General features: G+C 56.1%; 1 protein-coding gene and 1 pseudogene across 6 annotated transcripts in view, besides 3 other annotated features; both read right to left on the bottom strand.

Annotated features, from left to right (window-relative positions):
• Positions 1–526: 526 nt before the first annotated feature.
• Positions 527–12,558, bottom strand: LOC155060 (AI894139 pseudogene; annotated as a pseudogene). Its single transcript, NR_036573.1, has 11 exons — positions 12,343–12,558; positions 10,063–10,274; positions 8,382–9,408; positions 8,113–8,291; positions 7,801–7,901; positions 5,531–5,628; positions 4,347–4,462; positions 3,823–4,088; positions 3,427–3,459; positions 2,656–3,299; positions 527–788 (listed from the first exon to the last, which is right to left on the bottom strand). The product of NR_036573.1 is annotated as an AI894139 pseudogene (transcript).
• Positions 12,229–12,406: a silencer, noted in NCBI's record as "fragment chr7:148982524-148982701 (GRCh37/hg19 assembly coordinates)". NCBI's record gives its function as "represses an EF-1alpha promoter that drives an FKBP-Casp9 reporter gene in an ReSE screen in K562 erythroleukemia cells {active_cell/tissue: K562}" and the evidence as "EXISTENCE:reporter gene assay evidence [ECO:0000049][PMID:32094911]".
• Positions 12,507–12,856: a silencer, noted in NCBI's record as "silent region_18754". NCBI's record gives its function as "represses an Ori minimal core promoter by ATAC-STARR-seq in GM12878 lymphoblastoid cells {active_cell/tissue: GM12878}" and the evidence as "EXISTENCE:reporter gene assay evidence [ECO:0000049][PMID:35858748]".
• ZNF783 (zinc finger protein 783) overlaps positions 12,845–19,492 on the bottom strand; it is a 22,799-nt gene continuing 16,151 nt past the window's right edge. For 3 of the 5 annotated variants that reach the window (NR_144367.1, XM_047419692.1, XM_011515701.3), the window contains 2 exons: positions 19,312–19,440; positions 12,845–16,334 (listed from right to left, as the gene is read on the bottom strand). Coding sequence is in view for 3 of the 5 variants with exons in the window: in XM_047419692.1 (XP_047275648.1) it covers positions 15,496–16,334; positions 19,312–19,440 (968 nt within the window). In the remaining 2 variants the exon portion in view is untranslated. The remainder of the gene's footprint in view (positions 16,335–19,311; positions 19,441–19,492) is intronic. The other 2 variants (NR_144366.2, NM_001195220.2) reach the window with 1 other exon arrangement.
• Positions 15,870–16,406: an enhancer, noted in NCBI's record as "H3K27ac-H3K4me1 hESC enhancer chr7:148978524-148979060 (GRCh37/hg19 assembly coordinates)". NCBI's record gives its function as "activates a minimal SCP1, AML or CMV promoter by ChIP-STARR-seq in naive H9 embryonic stem cells {active_cell/tissue: H9 hESC(naive)}" and the evidence as "EXISTENCE:reporter gene assay evidence [ECO:0000049][PMID:30033119]".

Raw genomic sequence — 19,492 nt, 5'->3', positions numbered from 1 at the left:
TCACTCCTGTAATCCCAGCACTTTGGGAGGATGAGGTGGGCAGACTGTGTGAGCCCAGGAGTTCCAGACCAGCCTGGGCAAGGGCAACATGGTGAAACTCAGTCTCTACAAAAAAAAAAAAAAATTAGCCAGGCATGGTGGCGTGCACCTGTAGTCCCAGCTACTCGAGAGGCTGAAGTGGGAGGATCACCTGAGCCCTGGGATGTCAAGGATAAAGTGAGCCGTGATTGTGCCACTCCACTCCTGTCTCAACAAAGAAATGAATCAGTTGCTCTGACATTGTCAAGAATAGTAACAGTGGCTCACATGTCACCACCTAGTTATCATCCTGCACTGAGAAGAGTCATGGTGAAATTGACACATTTTTTCCTTGCTTAGTGAAGTAGAAAATAAGGGTGTGTCTTACAATCAATGGATCTTAGATTCAATGAAATACTGGAAATGTATTAACAACTATTATTTAAGGCAGGAAGTGGTAAAGATGTGCTGTTAAAATTTGCATTATCAGATCAATGACATTAAAATTGAGAATGGCATCACTTATGAAAACATTTTTATTATTCATTCATTCCACAAACGTAGGGGCTTTCCATGTGCAGGGCACAGTGCTGGACACTGAGGCCTCTGCCCTCCAGTGCTCATCCAGGGCTTGGTCCTCCAAGCCTACCTGGACTCTGCCTTTCTTTGGGACGTTGTCCTGGACTTCAGTCCATCCAGTACTTCTTTCCAGAACTTCAGAATGGAAGCACAGGTGAAAATCACTATATTTCACCACTGATCATGGGAACCTAGAGTGGAATATCATTACTGCATCACAGACAAGATCACAGACAGGGTAAGAAGGGGGAGAGAGGAAATTTACAATTCCTCATAAATAGTTCCTTATTTACAGAGATTGTAAGTGATTATGTAAATCACAGAGCTTCCAATTAAAACCAGCTCAAGCTACAAACATGAAAGTCCAGGGGCAGTGCCAGAGCCACCTCACTTGCCCGAGTGCTGCTCTCCAGGGCTTGCTACCATCTGCTCGTGTGCCCCTTAAAGTGAGGGCAATGGTAGAGACAGCACCGGCCTCTAGTCCTAGGAAGCACACATGCATTCATGTCAAGCACTGGGGGTTGAGTGGGGAGGAGGAGGGGGACAGGGGATTATCTGACAGCTGAGGATCTAGGGGATCCTGGCGGAGTCTGGGTCACAGCTGGAGCCCAGTTGTGGCTGAGATCTCCAGTAGCTGAGGGGGAACTAATGTATCAAAATGGGAGGGTCCCAAACTGGCCGGCCACCATAAGGGCCTGCCTGAAAAGCCCAAGGGACTGGCCTAAATCTTCAGATGGTGGCGGGGCCGCCAGGATCTCAGGGGGGCTTCTCAGCTGCTGGCAGGCCATGTCCAGGTTTCCTACCTCCCTTCTGCTCAACCTTTAGGTGCTTCTGCAACATTTACTGCAGCCCATGCTGCCTGCTGTTGTCTGTGTGTCCTCTGCCAGGTGCCACCATTGATGTCAGATACCCTTCCCAGCCCCACAGCTAGGAACCAGGCCTGTCTTTGTATCCCAGTGGCTGGCACACGTTGGATCCTCAGAAAGCCCCCTTTGCCTGCCTGCTCCAACAATGGCTTGAAGACAAATATTACACCAACTGGGCAGGGCGCTGTGAGGGCCAAGATGGCTGGTCCTGAGCACTGGGCCACAGCCAGCCCAGGCCCTTCCGGGACACATGGCCCACAAAGCTGCCTTTCCCAGGTAATGGGGAGCAAGGGGGAGACAGAAGTCAGGGAAAGTTTCCATGAAATCTTACAACTCACCAAGGCTGTTGGATTCGCATCTGAGGGACGCTTGGGCTCAGCCTATTAAACAGGAGGCTGGGTCTGGCCTGGACTCCGTCCAAGGCCTCCTGCCACCACCGCCCACCCTAGGAAGCACTTTAGAATCTTCACAGTCAGCATCCAGGAAACCAACGGCTATGGCTAAGAGTGAGCACCTTGGATGTCCCTTCAAAGCACTGAGTAATTACGTCTCCTAACTTGGACCTTTGTCTCTGAAAATCACTCGCCTAATAGAACAAGGCAAAGCCAGCCACTCCTGCGCACCCCATCTCCAAGCCCAGGCCTTCCCCTCAGTGAGGCTCAGGTGTTTGGGACTGGCCTCTATCCCAGCCGCCTCCCTGCAACGAGAAGGCCCATGGGCAATCTCAGTGCCTGGGAGAACAGCCCTCCCCCGGGAAGCCAAGACCATGGCCAGAATACTTTGACCTGGCCAAGAAGTGGCCCCCAGGAGAGGTTGCTCAGATTTAAGGGGCACCAACTGCCCCTGGGCCCTCAGAGCCCCTTTAGGGAGCTCTCTGGGTGCTACCCACATTCTCCATCTTCACGCGAGAAAGAGAACTGGGCAAGGGACCCCCACCCAAGACCTTCCTGATCACCACTGCCCCGCTGCCTGTCCCCAGGGCACCTCCTGAGGCCCAGCTCTGTACCAGTGCCCTCAAATCTGAGTGCGGCAGAAGGATTACTAGGGGTGCTCCCCCACACTGCACCCCTGAGGCCCGTGGGCGGCTCATCGGTCGAGGAGTCCCTCTCACAAACCAGGCAAGATGGAGAGGCCTGGCTAGCATGGCTGTCCTGGTGACGCACAAGCCAGGAGGGACAGGTGAAGCTCTCACCACAAGGGCTGCAAGGATAGTGCTTCTCCTGCGAGTGGCCACACAGATGACGCAGGAAGCCGGGCTTCTGCATGAATCTCCTGCTGTACTGGGCGCACTGGAAGGAGCGCTCGCCCAAGTGCACTCTCTGGTGCACGGTCAGGTTGGCCAGACGCGTGAAACGCTTGTCGCACTGCGCACACTGGAAGGGCTTCTCGCTGATGTGTGTGTGCCGGTGCTCCAGCAGCGTGGACAGGCGGCTGAAGCAGCAGCCACATTGCGTGCACTGGAAGGGCCGCTCACCCGTGTGCATGTGCCGGTGCTCCAGCAGCGTGGACAGGCGGCCAAAGAGCTTGGCGCACTCGTAGGGCTTCTCCCTGATGTGCGCGCAGTAGTGGGTGTGAGCGTCGACTGCTGGAGGAAGGTCTTGCCGCATTGGGCGCGGGTGTAGGTGCACTCGGCCACGTGCGCCCGACGGTGGCTGGCGGGGGTGGTCCGCTGCGTGAAGCTCTTGGGACACTGAGCACCAGCGAAAGGCCGGGGGCCACGATGCACGCGCTGGTGCGGCGCACTGAGCTCCTTCTGGCCGAAGCTCTGGCCACACTGGGCGCAAGGTGGGCACTGCTCCGTGCCCCTAGCGGCTGGCTCAGCCTGGCTCGGGGGGCCTGGAGGGAGGGAGGCCTCTAGCTCCCTGGGGTCAGGAAGCAGACCCCCACAGGTGCTTCCCCGAGAGCCCTCCTTGCCAGGCCCCCCTCCAGCAGCCCAAACTGGCTCGTGGCCCTTGGACCCTACCTCCAGACTCCTCTCTGCGGCCCAGACAGGTCTCTGCAGGCAAAGGACACAGAAGGGTATAGTGAGTGAGGCCTGCCTGCCACAGGCTCTGCAGCCGGGCCACCTGCCCTTGGCTCTTCTGGAGTCTGAAGCCTGGGGTTCAAGCATCACTGAAGGCCCCACTCTGGCCTAGCCTCCATCAGCTCCCATTGTCCTCTGCCGGGTTCCACCCTGTGCTGTTCCACCTAAGGCTCCCCCGTTCATCCACCTCTGAGCCTTGGCCCGAGGGTCCTCTCTACCCAGAAGGTCTCTGGCCTCCTCTTTGCCTCTCACCCAGGCTCTAAGCCCCTCTCAAGTCCCACCTCCCTCTCATGGAGCCTCCCAAGACCAGCGTGGTGACATTTTCCCCAGCAGCACCTTCATCTGGGCCGCCTGTGGCCACCGAGACACCCCTTTTACTATAGTTGAAAGAACACCTTCAGCTGTTTGCACATCGTAAGCATATGTGCTTTTTCTTAGAATACTGGCCATCTTTTGGGTCAGATTCTGAAAGGGCTCTCTGGCTGCAGACATGGAAGTGCCCCTTCCCACCGTGTACTGTGTCTGTGTTCGTCTTCTCTCTCCTGAGTGGAATCTGTGTCTCATGCATTAATGAGCCCCTGCAGCGCCCAGCACCATGCTGCCTACAGACAAGTTCATGAAATAAACAGGAAACAGGATCAGGAATAAAAGAATGATTTCGTGCAACTGCATGGGAGGACACCACGCAGCAAGCATACAAGATTCTGCAGAGACACAGCCAAGGCTGCGCACTGCCTTCCCTCAGGAGCCTCGCCCAGGAGAAGGCCCCACTAGAGGCGCTGTGAGGCCCCCCAGGGGACGCCATGTCTCCTAAGGCCCAGGGATACAGGCCTGAGGAGACATGGCCCAGCATGCCTTACCTGAGCACAGGTGTGCCACAGTGGTCTCCTGTGGGCCCTGCTGGCTCCTCCCACTTGCCCCTTCCTCTTGCTTGATCCAGGACAGAACGCCTGGGGACGTTCCAGCTGGCCTGCGTCTAAGGGAAAGAGGAAGAGGCCCTGAGGGCAGCAGGTGTCATAGGACATCTTTCCTCTCACAGCCTCAGTTGGGACCATGACACCAAAGAGACTCCCAACAGAACTGTAGGTCCCAGCAAAGGCACAGCACATCCTGGGGACGTGTGACATGGCAGTGAGTCAAGCCAGGGGAGCTTGGTCTGTGAATGACGGGCTGTGAGCTGTGACGGGGATGACCAGCCATCTTCCAATGCCATCCACCCCGCTTCAACACTAACAGAGCACTTGGTGTCTTGCTGGCCATGTGGCCTCCTAGACTCCAGACCTTGTTGCTGGGCCTCCCTGCAAGTAGGTGTGCCCTGTGGCTGGTCTGACTAATGGATGTGAGGGGCGCTGCCTCCTCCAGCTACAGGACCTTTGACAGTGGATTCGGCCTCTCTGTGCCTCAGTTTCTTCATCTATGATCTGAGGAAACTGAGAGTTGGAATAAGCTTAAATGGGTCAATGTTTATAAAGTGCACAGTAAGTACTAAATGTACAAGAAACCAATGTGTTTGCTTAAAGGGAAAGGCATCAACTAAAGGAAAAGGGAAAGGGCACCCCAACCCCCAGCCCATCCCCTTGCTTCCTTCAACAGGGCCGTGGGCATGGTCGCGGGCCATCTCGAACCACAGCAACAAGGCCTGGCCCCAGGAATGGTGGAGCGGTAGGCTGGAAGGAGCCTGGGCCTGTGAGCTGCCAAACAAGCTCTGTCGGGAGGGAGACCACCCCCTGCCGTGTGGAAGCTGCGGTTTTGGTTTTGTTTTCTTCAGTCTCTGTTACAGCAGCCAAATACAGATCCTACAGTGCCCTCAGGTGGGTGTCCTTCAAGGACTGGGCGACCTCACCAATCTGTGCCCACCTCTAAGGCCTATCTAAAGATCAGGGAATAGTTACTGCTCCTCTTCCTGCTCCAGGCTTGACACAGGGTAGGCACATTTTTTGTTAAATAAATGAATGAATGGAGAACATTCCAAGCCACCCATATCTAACAGCTGTCCAGTCGCTCAACGCTGCCAGATTTTATAGCCAGGGCACAGCTCACTTACTTCTGTCATACACGAGGCCCTTCTGACACAGCCACTCTGAAGACACCAGCCCGACCTGGCTGCCACACACCAGGCTGGCTCCACCATTAACCAGGGCCCTGGAAACCGTTTCGAGAGGAAATTGATCAAAATGTATCAACACGAAAAGATCCTTAAGACATATTGTTGAGTGAAAACAGCAAACCGCAGAAGATACGTAGTGTATATCTGTGTGTTCTTAACCCCTGTATTTTTCCACAGTACACACAAGTAAGTATGTGCATGAGAAAATAGCCTGAAAGGTTATGCAGCAGAATGATCCCAGTGGCTACCCTGGGAGGGGCCTGGGGTTGGGTGGGCGGCCAGCAGAGAGCCGCTTAGCTTTACCCATGACCTCCACATTGCTTAGTAAGAACATATTCGTGTAAGAATCCATTTGCATAATCAAAACATAGACACTTTCAATGGCTAGAGGCGGGTCACCTTCTGTTCAGAGGGATCTCTGAGCCGTGATTTTCAAACTAACGGCACCAGAATCACGGGAGGAAAGTGTTGAAAGTCCAGTGCCCAGACCCTGCCCGTACCTAATGAATGAGCAGCCCGTTTACACTGCTTCTAGAATTCTGGCAGCAACAGCCTGCCTGTGGAAACATCCAACAGATAAAGCAGTCATGCACCCACACTGTCTGGGGCCTGCACGCAAAGGGTTTAGAAGCAGCTTTTAGGAGTGAAGCCCAGTCCTTGGGGGTAAACAAAGCTCTCTCCTGGAGAAATCTGGAAAAGTTTACAGAGAATGGAAAACAAGAAGTAACTGCTAGAATGGCAAGGACTACCCAGACCGTAGGGCAACCCTAATCCCCTGAGCAGGTCTCATTCCTCCACCCACCACGCTTCCTTGAGCTGCCTTCAGGTGCAAGCCCAGCCTCATGGCAGAGCCGTGCCTGCAGCTCTTTGGCCAGGCCCTGCCTGCTGCTTTGCATCCCCCTAGGAGCTGCTCAGCCCTGGGGACTGTGGCACCGGCCACAGCCTCTGAACATGCCCCAGTCCTGCCCACACCTGCTGCAGGGGGCCAGCCCAAGACGGGGGTGGCTGCAGTGCCTGGGCTCAGCTCCCCTCCCTGCACCACAGGGGAGGAGCTGTTGGCCAGGCTGCTGCTGTAATAGCGCTCAGTGACACCACAAGAGCCACGTTCAGTGACACCACAAGAGCCACGCTCAGTGACACCACAAGAGCCACGCTCTGCCCAGCTGGCCTCTCGCTCAGGGCTCCCCAGCTTGGGCTATGTGACCTGCATCCTGCCACACCCCACCCCTTACTCAACCCTGCTCTCTCTCTGGTGCCCCTGCCCCCTGCAGGTGCCTGGAAATGCCACTTTTAGCCTTGGACCTACATGCCAGCCACTCAGTACCCCTGTCAACCCCCACCTTCTTCCCCACTCTGGGCTCACTGTGACTTAATTTACCTACTCAAAGAGTCTGCTTCACAGGGGAGCCTTCCTCCCCAAATCTAAGAATCTAGAAAGCAAGCAGCAGTATCTTGGCATGATCCACTGTGTTCTGAGCAACCAGCTCCAGGGTTCCTGTCCTTCAACTAGAATGGTCCCATTGTCCCCATGTTATATGTTTCTGGTTGTCACTGGAATAAAGGGTTCTCACCTTTAAAAAAAAAAAAAAACTGCATTCTGATCCAATGCTATTATTTGAAAAATGGAGGAAACTGAGCTTCTATTCTGGTTCACTGTTCATTTAGTAATTATATATTATTTATAATCTCAGTACATGCCAGGCACTGTGTAAGGTGCTAGAGGAGGGGGATAACACAGCAAGACTCAGTCCCTTCACCCAAGGAGAGTGAAGCCTGGAGAGGAAGCAGGGATTAGGCTGCAAAGTGAGGAGGACATGCACGCAGGCACCAAGGGCCCTGGGAGCAGATGCAGTGTCAGGGCAGGTCTCACGGAGGCCGCCAGCCCGTCGCTCCTCCCGGAACCCTGCATGCACCAAGACGGCCTGTCTCAGGTTCCTGGTATCTGCTATGCCCTCTGCCCTTCCCCTCAAGCCTCCAGACTGGTCTCAGGCCAAGCGATGGCTCCAAAGGGACATGGAGTATGGGAAATGGCCCAGGCCCTCTCTGGGTGTCAGAACACCCGGGTCTGGCCCTGACCACCAGCTGTGAGGCCCAGCAGTTCACTTCCCCCCACCTCTGCCTCTCTTTCTCCAAGGGGGCCTTCTGACACCAGATGCCCTTACCAGATGCAGGTGGAGAGGCCCAGGCCCACACCCTGAGGGACTCACCAGTGCCCGGGCTCTGGCCCCTCTCCGCACTGGGCAGGCTGCAGTTGCCTGCCTGTCTCCTTTCTCCACTGGTGCCAGATCTGGCTTGGTGGTGGCCTGGCCTGTGGGGAGGAAAAGGGCAGTGGCAGGGCTGTCCTCTGCAGGCCTGGAAAGGGAGGGTGTTCTGCTAGGCTTGGAGCAGCCTCTTCAAGGCGTGTGTTGAGGGGCATGGAGAGTAGGGTGGGCAAGGCCTCTCAGTTTTCGTGGGCTAGAAGTGAGTGCCATGAGGCCAAGAGGAAGGGTTCCCATCCACTGCCCACATAGACAAGTCACCTAGTCCAGACAGATGAGGAAACTGAGGCCCAAGAGTGGGTCTGGCCATCCATGGCAGTCAGGCTCAGGCTTCCTGCTGCCCTTCCTTCCACGTGCTTCTCCTTCCTCGCCTGAGGCCGGACAGCCTCCTCACCCTGCCTCCCACAGCACACTGGGACCCTTTTCTGAAGGAGGAACCTCTGCAGCCAGGCAAAGAGAGGGAAGGCACTGTGTTCTGGGCCTCAGCCTCCCAACAAGGGGAGAGACTGGACAAAAAGCCAACTGCTCACCTGCCCAAAGCAGTGAGAATTCCAGGTTCACGCAGGAGAGCTTCGGAGTGGGGTAGCTACAAAAACCCAGGTCTGATCAAGTCTCACACGAAGACGCACACCTGCCTGAAGGAGCGAACTTCCCAGGCCTGGCCCTGATTTTCTGGACCTGGGGCATCCTTAAAAGCAGGCCTGGCCAAGCCTGGTGGCTCACTCCTGTAATCCCAGCACTTTAGGAGACCGAGACGGGAGGATCGCCTGAGGTTGGGAGTTCGCGGCCAGCCTGACCAACATAGAGAAACCCCGTCTCTACTAAAAATATAAAATGAGCCGGGTGTGGTGGCCCATGCCTGTAGTCCCAGCTACTCAGGAAACTGAGGCAGGAGAATCACTTGAACCCGGGAGGCGGAGGGTGTGGTGACTGAGATCACGCCATTGCACTCCAGCCTGGGAAACAAGAGCAAAACTCCGTCTCAAAAAAAAAAAAAAAAAAAGCAGGCCTACAATTCATCCTTCTTTGCTCAGCAGGAATCTCCTGAGAACTCAGTGTGCAGAGTGCAGCGTGGGAGTCCTAGAGATGCAGATGTAAACCAGGGGAGGCCCCAGCTCCCCAGGAGCAGATAGGCTGGTGAGCCACAGGTGTGCACGCAGGAGCTGCCTCTGGCACCACGCGAAGGGCAGGACAGCGAGGAGCAGATTCCAGTTTATTTACTCCAAGAAATCTGGAACAAGTCACATAACCTCTGCATTTCATTACATAAAACTTCAAAATGAGAATGACAGATACCTTCTACCTGCCTGAAGACAGAGGGCTGAAGAAATGATCTCCACATGCTTCCTGCTCTGAGATTCAGGAGTCTCATGTGATTGAATAAAGGAGTAAAACCAAGGTGTGGAGGCCCCCAGAGGCCAGCCTCTCACCCAGGAAGCTCAGGGTGTCGCAGCTCCCCTTCACAACACATTTGCAGAACTCCTTCTATGAGTCCTCCAGGCCGCCACCCTGCTGCTCTGAGAAATACCCGACCGTGTCTTCAGGAGTCACAGGCACCTGGAAGTACAAGTTGCCTGCACCCACCATGAATAACAACCATTTCACGGAGCAGCCAAAACCAACTCGTCCCCTCTCCCTTCCCCCGAAGCAGAGGGCATCGCAGGCCAAACTACTAAGCAAATGCAAACTCAACTCCATCACACTGCCTTCAGCTAAAGGGCAGAACCAGTGACTAATGGGATCTAGGATCGGGGCTCCTGGGTTCTCCCCTCTCCCAGGCACACATATCTCCTACTTGTGCCAGTCCTCACTCTCAGAGACCATGTACAACCACTGCTGCACAACCATATCTCTCCCAACAAACCCCATTCCATCTTCCAAAGCAGACATTTTTCTGTGTCACAATTTTCTTCTGACATTTTTCAAGCCCTTTAAAGTCAACTAGTGACTGCCTTGGACGCCCAGAGGTCAGGCTTCAGCAGCCAAGGGTATGCTGCTGTGGCGACGCTATGCATATGGCCACCCTACAGAGTCCAGGCAGGGCCTCTCCTCCTACACCCAGCTCCTGTACCTTGGGGGCCTCCCCCTTGCTGCCCGGGGGCAACTGCAGGATCCAGAAGTTCCTGTTGCACAGCAGGTTCTCCACGTTCCCCAGCCACCTCTGCAGCAGCCCGTACTCCTGCAGCAGGGTCCCCAGCACGGCCCACTTGCCTCCAGCTGGTTCCCGAACTCCACAGCCACCTTCTCGCAGTCAGCCAGCTTCTTCTTGGCTGTCCACATGCATCCCTCCAGGCTCTGTAGCCAGGCAGCCTGGGGTTCCATCTTCTTCTCCACCACCTGAACAGCAGCCACGATAGCCGGAAGGGAGATCTCTGCAGATCAGATCTGGGCCTCTCCCTGGAGGTCAGTCCGCAATGCCAGTCCTGCAACCAGACACAAGTTCGCAAGTCAGCCACCAGAAGGAGAGCAGCCCAGAGCCATTCCCAAATACAGGAAGGTCAGGATTCTCCGGAATGGGGGAGACGTCTTCTGAGTGCCAGGCGGCCTCACTGGTCAGACCCCCAAACAGACCCCACCTAATAGTCAAAGACAGCAGACACTGGACCGCACAAAGCCCCCACGAGAAGAATCCTGAACCAAGAGCCGGGGCAACGGAAAATGACATAACTAACATTACCATCATAAATGAACAGAGAGTGGATCCCAGCTCTACCACTCACTGGCTCTATTTACTCAGCCAATTACTCAACCAACTAGGGAACACGGCCAGCAGCAGGAGCCAAGAAATGGTGAGAAGCCCAAGTCCAGAACACCTGCCAGGGGACCTGGGGTCCAGTGCACACACACCCAGGCAGCAATCTGACTCCTCACCTTCTTCTAGAACAAGCCCACACCCCTTAGTGGGCTCAAGGGGAGAAAGGCCTGTTGTTCTGCCTTGGTGATTTCTAAGGCCCATCCACCCTGACATCTACTGGTGTGACTTCCTGCCCCGCCTGATACCACATCCCCATGATCCAGGTGCCTTGTCAACCAGCCCCAGGGTGGTCTCCACCCTCCTAGCTGCCAGGCAACAGGGGCCAGAGAAAGTTGAAAGCAGAAAAGGAAAGAACAAAGAAACATTACAAGGAATACCCTGTTCACAGGAGGTGGAAAATATATTGTGTATTGCTAGAAATAAAATTTAAAATCCAGGAATGCCTCAGCAGGGAACAGTTGAGGTATAAAGGGAGTGCTCCTGGAAATGGAACTCACCTAGAACTTGACTCAGTGCCTCTCCTGCCATCTGAATCCTGCACAACCTGAGGTCAAGCCACATTACTTATCCAAGGTTCTGTTTTCTCACTTATGGGGACATCCTAACTTCCTTCACTCCTAAGGTGGCTGTGTGGATGAAATGCACTGAAGATATGAAAAAGCACTCATGGTGTATGACATTAGCACCTGTTATATTCTTAAAAACAAATATAAAGGCTATGGACCAGTGATCTGAATGTGTTATGAACCAAAGACTGTGATTAATCCAATTCTGTGCAACTGAGTTTCTCAGAGACCTCCCCAATAAACGTACTCAGCAAAGCGTCCCACACATACCAGGTACCAGACACCAGATACCTGGCCCTTTCCTTCCCCACACAGCATGGCTATTCATCCTCAAGTCTGGCCTCTGTCTGATACAATGAAGTGGAGCTCAGAGGAGGCAGCACCGTCTTCACAGATTAGGGGCAAACATCCTCACCTCCCTGCAATGCCCTGCCACAAATGTGCCACCCGGGAATGGATCCAAAACCACTGCAAAGCTATTTATACTAGGAGATGGCCCCTCTACCTTTAAAAACCTATGAAAATCTCAACAGTTCTTATGCAGGCCAGCAATGGCCTAGGTCAAGCCTGAGCCTGAAGCCCCTAACCAAAAGTCCTCACAATGCAGATCCCCTCAGCAGCAGCCAGAAGGACTTGTCAGGGAATTTTAGAAAGAGTGGGCAGGCATCAGAATCCTCCTGACTGGAATCAGAGCTCAAGTCTAGAGCCCACCTCACAGCCAGGAGCCAGACTCTGGCTCCAGCAGACTGCAGCGGACATCCCTCCCCAGGCCATGGCACTGGTCTCAGCTTGGAGGGAGGGGTGGATCTTTGAGATGGTCGACTTGGGGGCGGTGCCAAAAGGCGGGTCCAGAAAGAGGAATCTTGGAGAGTCTGGAATGAAGACGTCCACAGTCCACTGTCCCCCCAGAGCCGGGTCCAGTGGATATCAGGGCTGGAGGGAACCTCCAAATCTTGTGTTTGCCAATCACCTTATTCCACAGGCAAGGAAACGGAGAGCGAGAAGGGCGTTTATCGTGTGGCCTTAGGAGTCCTTGTCCTCCTCCTGCCACCCGGGCTGAGCCCTCCCCAGTTCCAGGAGGTCGCCGGAGATGGTGGGGGGTGGAACATCCTCCTGGCGAATTCAGGACTCGGCTCCACGTCCCCAAGCCTCCATGAGGGTCGCCCTTACCGGAGGCGCAGCCGCCTCGGCCATGGCCCTGTGCTGGCCGGCCTGGGCAGGGAGTAGCCGCTGCCGTTACGCGCGGCCCCACACAAGCCCGGCTGCGCAGTCCTCTCCGCAGACGGCGTCAGCCCTGCTTTCCCCGCACGGACCGAGCTCGCGGGGCCGCCGGGGCTCGGGACACGCGGAAAACGCGTCAGCGCGGCAGCTGTGCAGAGACTCAACGGGTTGCGACCGGGTGGACCCCGCCCACATCCCGAAGCCAGATCCCCATTGGCCGGTGGTGGAAGCTCCGCCCCCCACTTGGCTGGCGCCTCCGACCCAGTGCCAGCTTTTCATTGGCCAACCCGGGAGGCCCCGCCCCCACAGCGTGCGCCGGGCCTTTGTGCACGCCCGACAGGTGCGAGCGCCCGCCCCGGGCTGGTGCCCAACAGCCCGCAGGTGTCGCCAGCTGCCACCGCCCCGCACGGCCACTCACCTCCCAGAGAGCAGAAACCAGATCAAGCGCACGCACTCGTTTATGCCAACAACTTTATTGAGCACCAATTAGGGCAAGGGACTACCACCTTCACAGTTCTCTTGGGCTTATTAACGTCGTGGCCCACTCATTTATTTCACAAATGAGGAAACCGAGGACCCTGCTGGGAGAGTTTGGGGCCCAACCAGGGCTCCCACTGAGTCTGGGGCACCCTCAGCTCCTGCACCACAAAGCTTCGGTTGACTTGTTTCAATGTAAAGAACGTTACTTAAACAGGTCTGAGTGCTAGGCAAACTCACAAGACCTAGCTCAAAGTTTGAGCACATTGGTATGAAAAAAAGAAAAAAGGAGAATCAGCACCTTGTGATATTTAAGCAGGGGCATTTGGCATTAGCCAACCAAGCCCAGAAAGTCGGCAAAATTCTTAGCCTGAGGCATCCCCAGAACACCTGAGACTAGCTCCTGCAGCTGAGGGTTAAACTCGTGCACCTGCACTTGCACCACATCCTGTCTGAGCTCTTGCTGACAGCCCGTCTCTGGTTTGTGAAGCTCCTGGCAAGGGTGGGGGGACTCCAGAGCAGACAAGCAGGATCCACAGCACAGAAGGGCAGTGCCTCTTCCCAAACCCAAGGGAGCCTGGCTGAACTGTCACTGACTTGTATACTCACTCTCCTCCCAGAGATGACAGCAATGCTACCATTGGCCCCCAACTCTGCTCAAGACTTTGGAAGAAGTGTGAGGGTCAGAAGGGCAAGGAAATGGCACATCCAGGGACCAAGACCCCCAGAAGCAGCCCTGAAGCGTGGTCACAGTGCCAGACAAGGCGGTAAAAAACAAGGATAGCTGGGGTCCCATCACTCCAGCTTCAGAGTCACCCACACCAAGGCTGCTCTACAGACAGCGTCCGCAGTGGTGTGATGAGAGACACCAGAAGCCAGCTGACCTCCAGACTGCCCCATGAGGCAGTCTGAACTGAGGCAGTCTGAACTTCTACAGTCCGAATCTCATGCTTTGGTAAGAATTTGTTCACCAAAATACAAAGGACTCCTGGGGAACAGAGCCCCATGGGCGACTCTTTCACTGAACCCAGTGGAACTGCCACTCACTCCAGAAGATAAAGGTCCTTCCTGAGGGATTCTGACAGGAAAAAAAGGCTGGAATGGAGTAGAAAGGAGGCCCTGAATTTGAAAGGAAGCACAAAGCTAGGCTTCATATTTGTCCCAGTGCCTGTTACTTTGACCCTGACAACTCTGAGGTAGGACACACTGGGGCCATGACCCCTTTGACAGAAGAGGAACATGAGACTAGCTGTGACTAAAGGATTCACCCAGATCTCCTAGCCCAACTCTGCCCCAGAGCCCAAAGTGCTCAAGGGAGAACTCCTTTGAGAGGAGACTGCCCCGCCTTTAATGTGAAAAGCAGGCCTGGAGGCCCAGGGTGGACGTGGTCCTCAGCCAGACCAAGGGCCTCCTCTAGTGGAGGGGCTTCCTGGGCTCTCTCTGCACTGCCCCTCAGGGTGCTTTCTGGGGTCCAGTCAATGGATCTTACACACCCATGAACACTGAGCCCTTGGGGAGACGTGTCCAGGCTTCAGTTTCCCCTCCCAGCTGACAACAAAAGTAAATAATGGATGTGACTATCCTGTGGGGAAGGACTAGGAATACTGGGAGTCACTCTGGGCCAAGAAACACACACATGGGGAGACACTGTGCCTCCAAGACAGCAGCCAAGACATCCCCATCAAAACCCACAGGCTGGGCCAAGAGTGGTGGCTCACGCCTGTAATCCCAGCACTTCAGGAGGCCGAGGTGTGCGGGTCACCTAACATCAGGAGTTCGAGACCAGTCTGGACAACATGATGAAACCCTGTCTCTACTAAAAATACAAAAATTAGCCGGGAGTGGTGGTGGGCGCCTGTAATCCCAGCTACTCAGGAGGCTGAGGCAGGAGAATCACCTGAACCCGAGAGGCGGAGGTTGCAGTGAGCGGAGATTGTACCATTGCACTCCAGCCTGGGCAACAAGAGTGAAACTCCATCTTAAAAAAACAACAACAACAACAAAAAAAAAACCAAAAGACCCACAGGCTGGTGGACGTAGCTCCCCTTTCAGCTCTGCGAGCCTCACATGGAAAAGCCGACTCTTTCCGACTTTGCAAAAGGCAAAGTTCCATTAACAACTACACACATTTACAAAAGTATTTCAAAGTCTCTATAAGAAGGGAAAAAAATTTCAAAATAGCAAAGTAGAAAACTTTCCAGGGCCCTTTCTTCAAGTCAGGCCATCCATCCACTCCACTCCACTGTTTCTCATGGTGACAGCAGGCAGGAGATCTCTGCACAAAACAAAAATCCCAGGTCCCCGATGTCTCTATCGCCCCCATACTGGAAGGGCCATGATCTCTGGTCCTCTTGGCTGTGGTACCTACCAGAGGCCTTATCAAAAATATGGCATCCCTTAAGCCTTAAGGCATCTTTTAGAAGTCAGGAATGCAGAAAAGGCAGCGAAGAGTGCAAACAGGAAACAGAAAGCACCCGGTCACACACAATGTCACCAGAAGGGCAGCTAGCTTCCCATTTGAATGGGTAAAAACAACAAACCTCTCTCCATCCCAGGAAAAGGAAGAACCTGCGTCAGGCACAGGGGAGAGACCCCGCCAGGGGTCCTCTGTGGGCTCCTGCCAGGTCAGCCCTCCTCCTTCCGGCTGGGCCAGGGCAGGGGCAGGCTCCCGTGGCGGGCGGGGGCGGCAGGGAAGTGTGGGCCCACCTGGCCTCGGGCGTGGGTCTGCATGTGCACGGCCAGGTGGTGGTTGCGGTTGAAGGTCCGGCCACACTGGGGGCACTGGTAGGGCCGCTCACCGGTGTGGATGCGCTGGTGCCGGAAGAGGTCCGAGGGCCGGCGGAAGGCCTTGCCGCAGTAGGGGCAGGCGGGCCAGCCCTGGCCATTGCCGGTGTGCAGGCGCTGGTGCAGCAGCAGGCTCTTGCGCTGCTGGAAGAAGCGCAGGCACTCGCTGCAGTGGTACATCTTGCTGGCTGCAGGCCGCCGCCCCACCAAGGCACGGCCCCCTGCCACGGAGCGGCGACCCTCAGGCTCCTCGGGGAGCCAGCGGATGACAGGGCCGGGTACCACCACCTCCCCCGGCTCCAGCATGGCCTGGCTGTCCCCGCAGCTGGTGGGCGAGCGGCCGGGGGCCTCCTGCCGCCCCTCCTCCACATGGGTCCGCTGATGAATCGTCAGATTGATCTTCAGGCGGAAGCTCTGCCCGCAGTCGGGGCAGGGGAATGCCCGCTGCCGCCTGCGGGAGAGGACTCGGGGCGTCTCCCCACTGGCCCCCGGTGGCCGTGGCTCCCCTGCCCGCACCCTGGGCATGCCCTGGGCCTGATGACGGCTGGGGCCCCCAGGCCTGTTCCTGGGCCCTCGGGGGATTCTACACTCGGTCTGGCCTCGGGACACCCCCAGAAAGAGCCGCTCAGGCGTCATCTCGTCTTCAGACTGTGCCTCTGTCTTGATGGCCACACCACCACCTGGCAAAGGAGTCTATGTTGGTTTCCAAGTGGACCTCACCACCCTGTCCCCCAGGTCACTCGGCCCAGTCCTGGCTTCCAGCCTCAGCCCGGGCCCTATCTCCCCACAGTGCTCACAGCACATTGCAGGGGTCCTGCTCACTGAGCCCTGCCACACAGGCACTGCCTTGCACGGTCACTCAGTCCTGATTGTTGTCATCTGCCTCATTCCTGGAGGCCAAGCTAAGGACATCAGGGGAGGGGAGATCAAACTGCAAGGCCAGGAGCCAGGGAGCCCAGAGGTCAGGGGTCAGCTGGAGTGGGACACAGAAGCAGAGACCCTGGGCACAGCAGAGAGGGTGGCAGGACCCCACCCCCAAGAGTTCTGGTGACATTAGTTACCATCTGTGAAAGACAATGAACCCCAGGGGCCCTGCATGCCCCCAGACCACCCTAAGAGGCCTCTGTGGACTAGAGGTGGTGAGTGCTGCACCCATGCTCAGCTGCTCATCCACATGACAAATCCACACAGAGCGTCCACGACCTGTCTGCCACTACACTCACTGGTGACAGAGAGGAGGCACTGGGACCTGAGATTCCTGCCTGGGTCTGTGTGAGTCTCACTCAACTCCCAGGTTGGGTGGAGGCAAGGAGCTGCTGGGACAGCAGTGACAAGGACAACCAAGGCAGTGGCAGGTGATCACAGCAATGTGCTGGAGACGTGAGACCCCAGGTCTCAGCACCCAGCTCTCAGGGGTCCCTAATGTGAGGGAGGGTCCTGGCACCCTGCCCTCTCAGGGAAGCACAGACTCTAGGCAGAGGGACACAGACTGTGGACACGGAGGGGCTGGGAGCCCAGCCACGCCAAGACCACGTGAACAGCTTTTCCATCATCATCGGACCACATGCCTGGGATCTGATGCCTGGGTTTTCATGCAGTGCCTTTCCAGCCAGGCCAGACCAGACCACGATGGGGAAAGACCAGGAAGGACCCCAGACTGATCTGGGTCCCCACAGTCCCCAGGGAGATAGAAGCTGGAGAGGGAGGGAGAGAACCCTCAGGAGGAAGCCCCTCACCAGGTCCCACCACCCAACCCCAACCCCACCCCACTCCCAAAAGGCCCCCACACTCCTGTGGGGCTCTGCTGCGGCCACAGGTGCCTCCGCCCTTCTTCCCCAGGCCCCATGCCTGGCAGGATGTCCCTGGTGGGGAAGGTTGGAGACTCCCCATCTAAAGACTCTCCTTCTGGCTTAATCAAAGATAAAATGCTGGTGCTCCGGGAGGTGAGGGGCGCCTCTGCCCGGCCACCCCTACTGGGAAGTGAGGAGCTCCTCTGCCCGGCCAGCCGCCCCGTCCGGGAGGGAGGTGGGGGGGTCAGCCCCCCGCCCGGCCAGCCGCCCTGTCCGGGAGGGAGGTGGGGGGGTCAGCCCCCCGCCCGGCCAGCCGCCCCGTCCGGGAGGTGAGGGGCGCCTCTGCCCGGCCACCCCTACTAGGAAGTGAGGAGCCCCTCTGCCCAGCCACCATCTCGTCTGGGAGGTGTACCCAACAGCTCATTGAGAACGGGCCGGGATGACAATGGCGGTTTTGTGGAATAGAAAGGGGGGAAAGGTGGGGAAAAGATTGAGAAATCGGATGGTTGCCGTGTCTGTGTAGAAAGAAGTAGACATGGGAGACTTTTCATTTTGTTCTGTACTAAGATAAATTCTTCTGCCTTGGGTTCCTGTTGATCGGTGACCTTACCCCCAACCCTGTGCTCTCTGAAACATGTGCTGTGTCCACTTCCCCACTTCCCTCCACTATTGTCCTATGACCCTGCCAAATCCCCCTCTGCGAGAAACACCCAAGAATGATCAATAAAAAAAAAAAAATTAAAAAAAAAAAAAAAAAAAAAACAAAGATAAAATGCTGGTGCTAGCTGGCGGCCACGTGAGAAAGACTCGGCGAGGGCCTCTCCCAACACCGGCTGCTGGACACCCGCGGCTTGCAGCGTGCACAGCCATCTCCCCAGCAGCCCTGGACGTGCGCAAGTCCCTGTCAGGGAAAGGAGGCCTAGGGCTTCTGTCCCGAGGGCTTCAGAGGTGAGACAAGAGCTACGAAGGCCATGTCCCCAACACTCCTGCAGGCCAGTGCTAATGACTTGTCCCTCAGCATCTGTCACCCTGATGAGCCTGAAAAGAACAGAGGGTTGGGAGGCTCCCGGACACCGTTCCAGGTCTGCAATGGGGCAGGAACATTGCCTTCCCACCTAAGAGGGTCCCATCTCTCCAACTCCATGAGCAGAGCCCAGACTTACACACTGGCTGGAAAGAGAAACCCAGGGAAGGGAGGATGATCCAGTGGGGAAGATACCCAGAAATCACCACAGGGAAAGCAACCAGAGACTGAAAGTCGGGCCAGCGGCAGGACCAGGTGGAGGAGCCAGCCCCGCAGAGGAACACTAGACAGAGAACAGAGCTCTGGACTGTTTGCAAGTGTTCCGCTAAATGCCCTGATATACACTTTTGTGAAAGGACAGGCAGGGACTGCCTTTAAATAAAAGCAGACAAAGAAGTCTGGAAGGATGACTAAAGCCAGAGTTCCCAGTAGGTCTTCAGAAAGAGGGCGTTTACTGAGAAACACCATGCTGGCGCCGCGCTAGGCACAGGACACACACTGCCCCGTGGATGGGACCCTCGTAAAGACCCTGGGCAGGCACAACACACCCATCTACCCCCTCCCCTCACTCCACCGGACCCATGTGCCCAGGCCCCCAACACGCAGAGGAACCCACCCCTCTATACAGACTGTTTTCTCACGCTGAAAATGCCAAAACCTACCTTCTTTTAGGCCTGTCTCAGGGGCCTCTTTCCCAGAAAGCCTGTCCGGCCCAGCCCAACCAGTCTCCCAGCCCTCTCTCCCAGCCCCATGCTTCCAGGGCTTTTCCTCAGCACCATCGCTTGGTGATCGCGTGCTGCCTCGGGACACTGTTCATCCTGCCGCCTCACTGTCCTCACTCACCTGCTTCTGGCCCGGCTGGGGCCACTCTCGCCTCTGAGTCCTGCTGCTGCTTGGGGGCCTGCCCTTCTTTCAGCTCCTCCTGGGCAGGGCTAAGTGGGCTGGTGAGGTGCTCTGGATACGGAGGGAGGCCTGGAGAATGTAAATCAGTGACATTGAGCACAACATGGAGGTCTCCTGCCCA

The sequence above is a fragment of the Homo sapiens genome, chromosome 7 (assembly GCF_000001405.40).
Source record: "Homo sapiens chromosome 7, GRCh38.p14 Primary Assembly".
Classification (NCBI taxonomy): domain Eukaryota; kingdom Metazoa; phylum Chordata; class Mammalia; order Primates; family Hominidae; genus Homo; species Homo sapiens.
The sequence above is the reverse complement of the archived record's forward strand: the minus strand, read 5'-3'. Positions and strand labels throughout refer to the sequence as shown.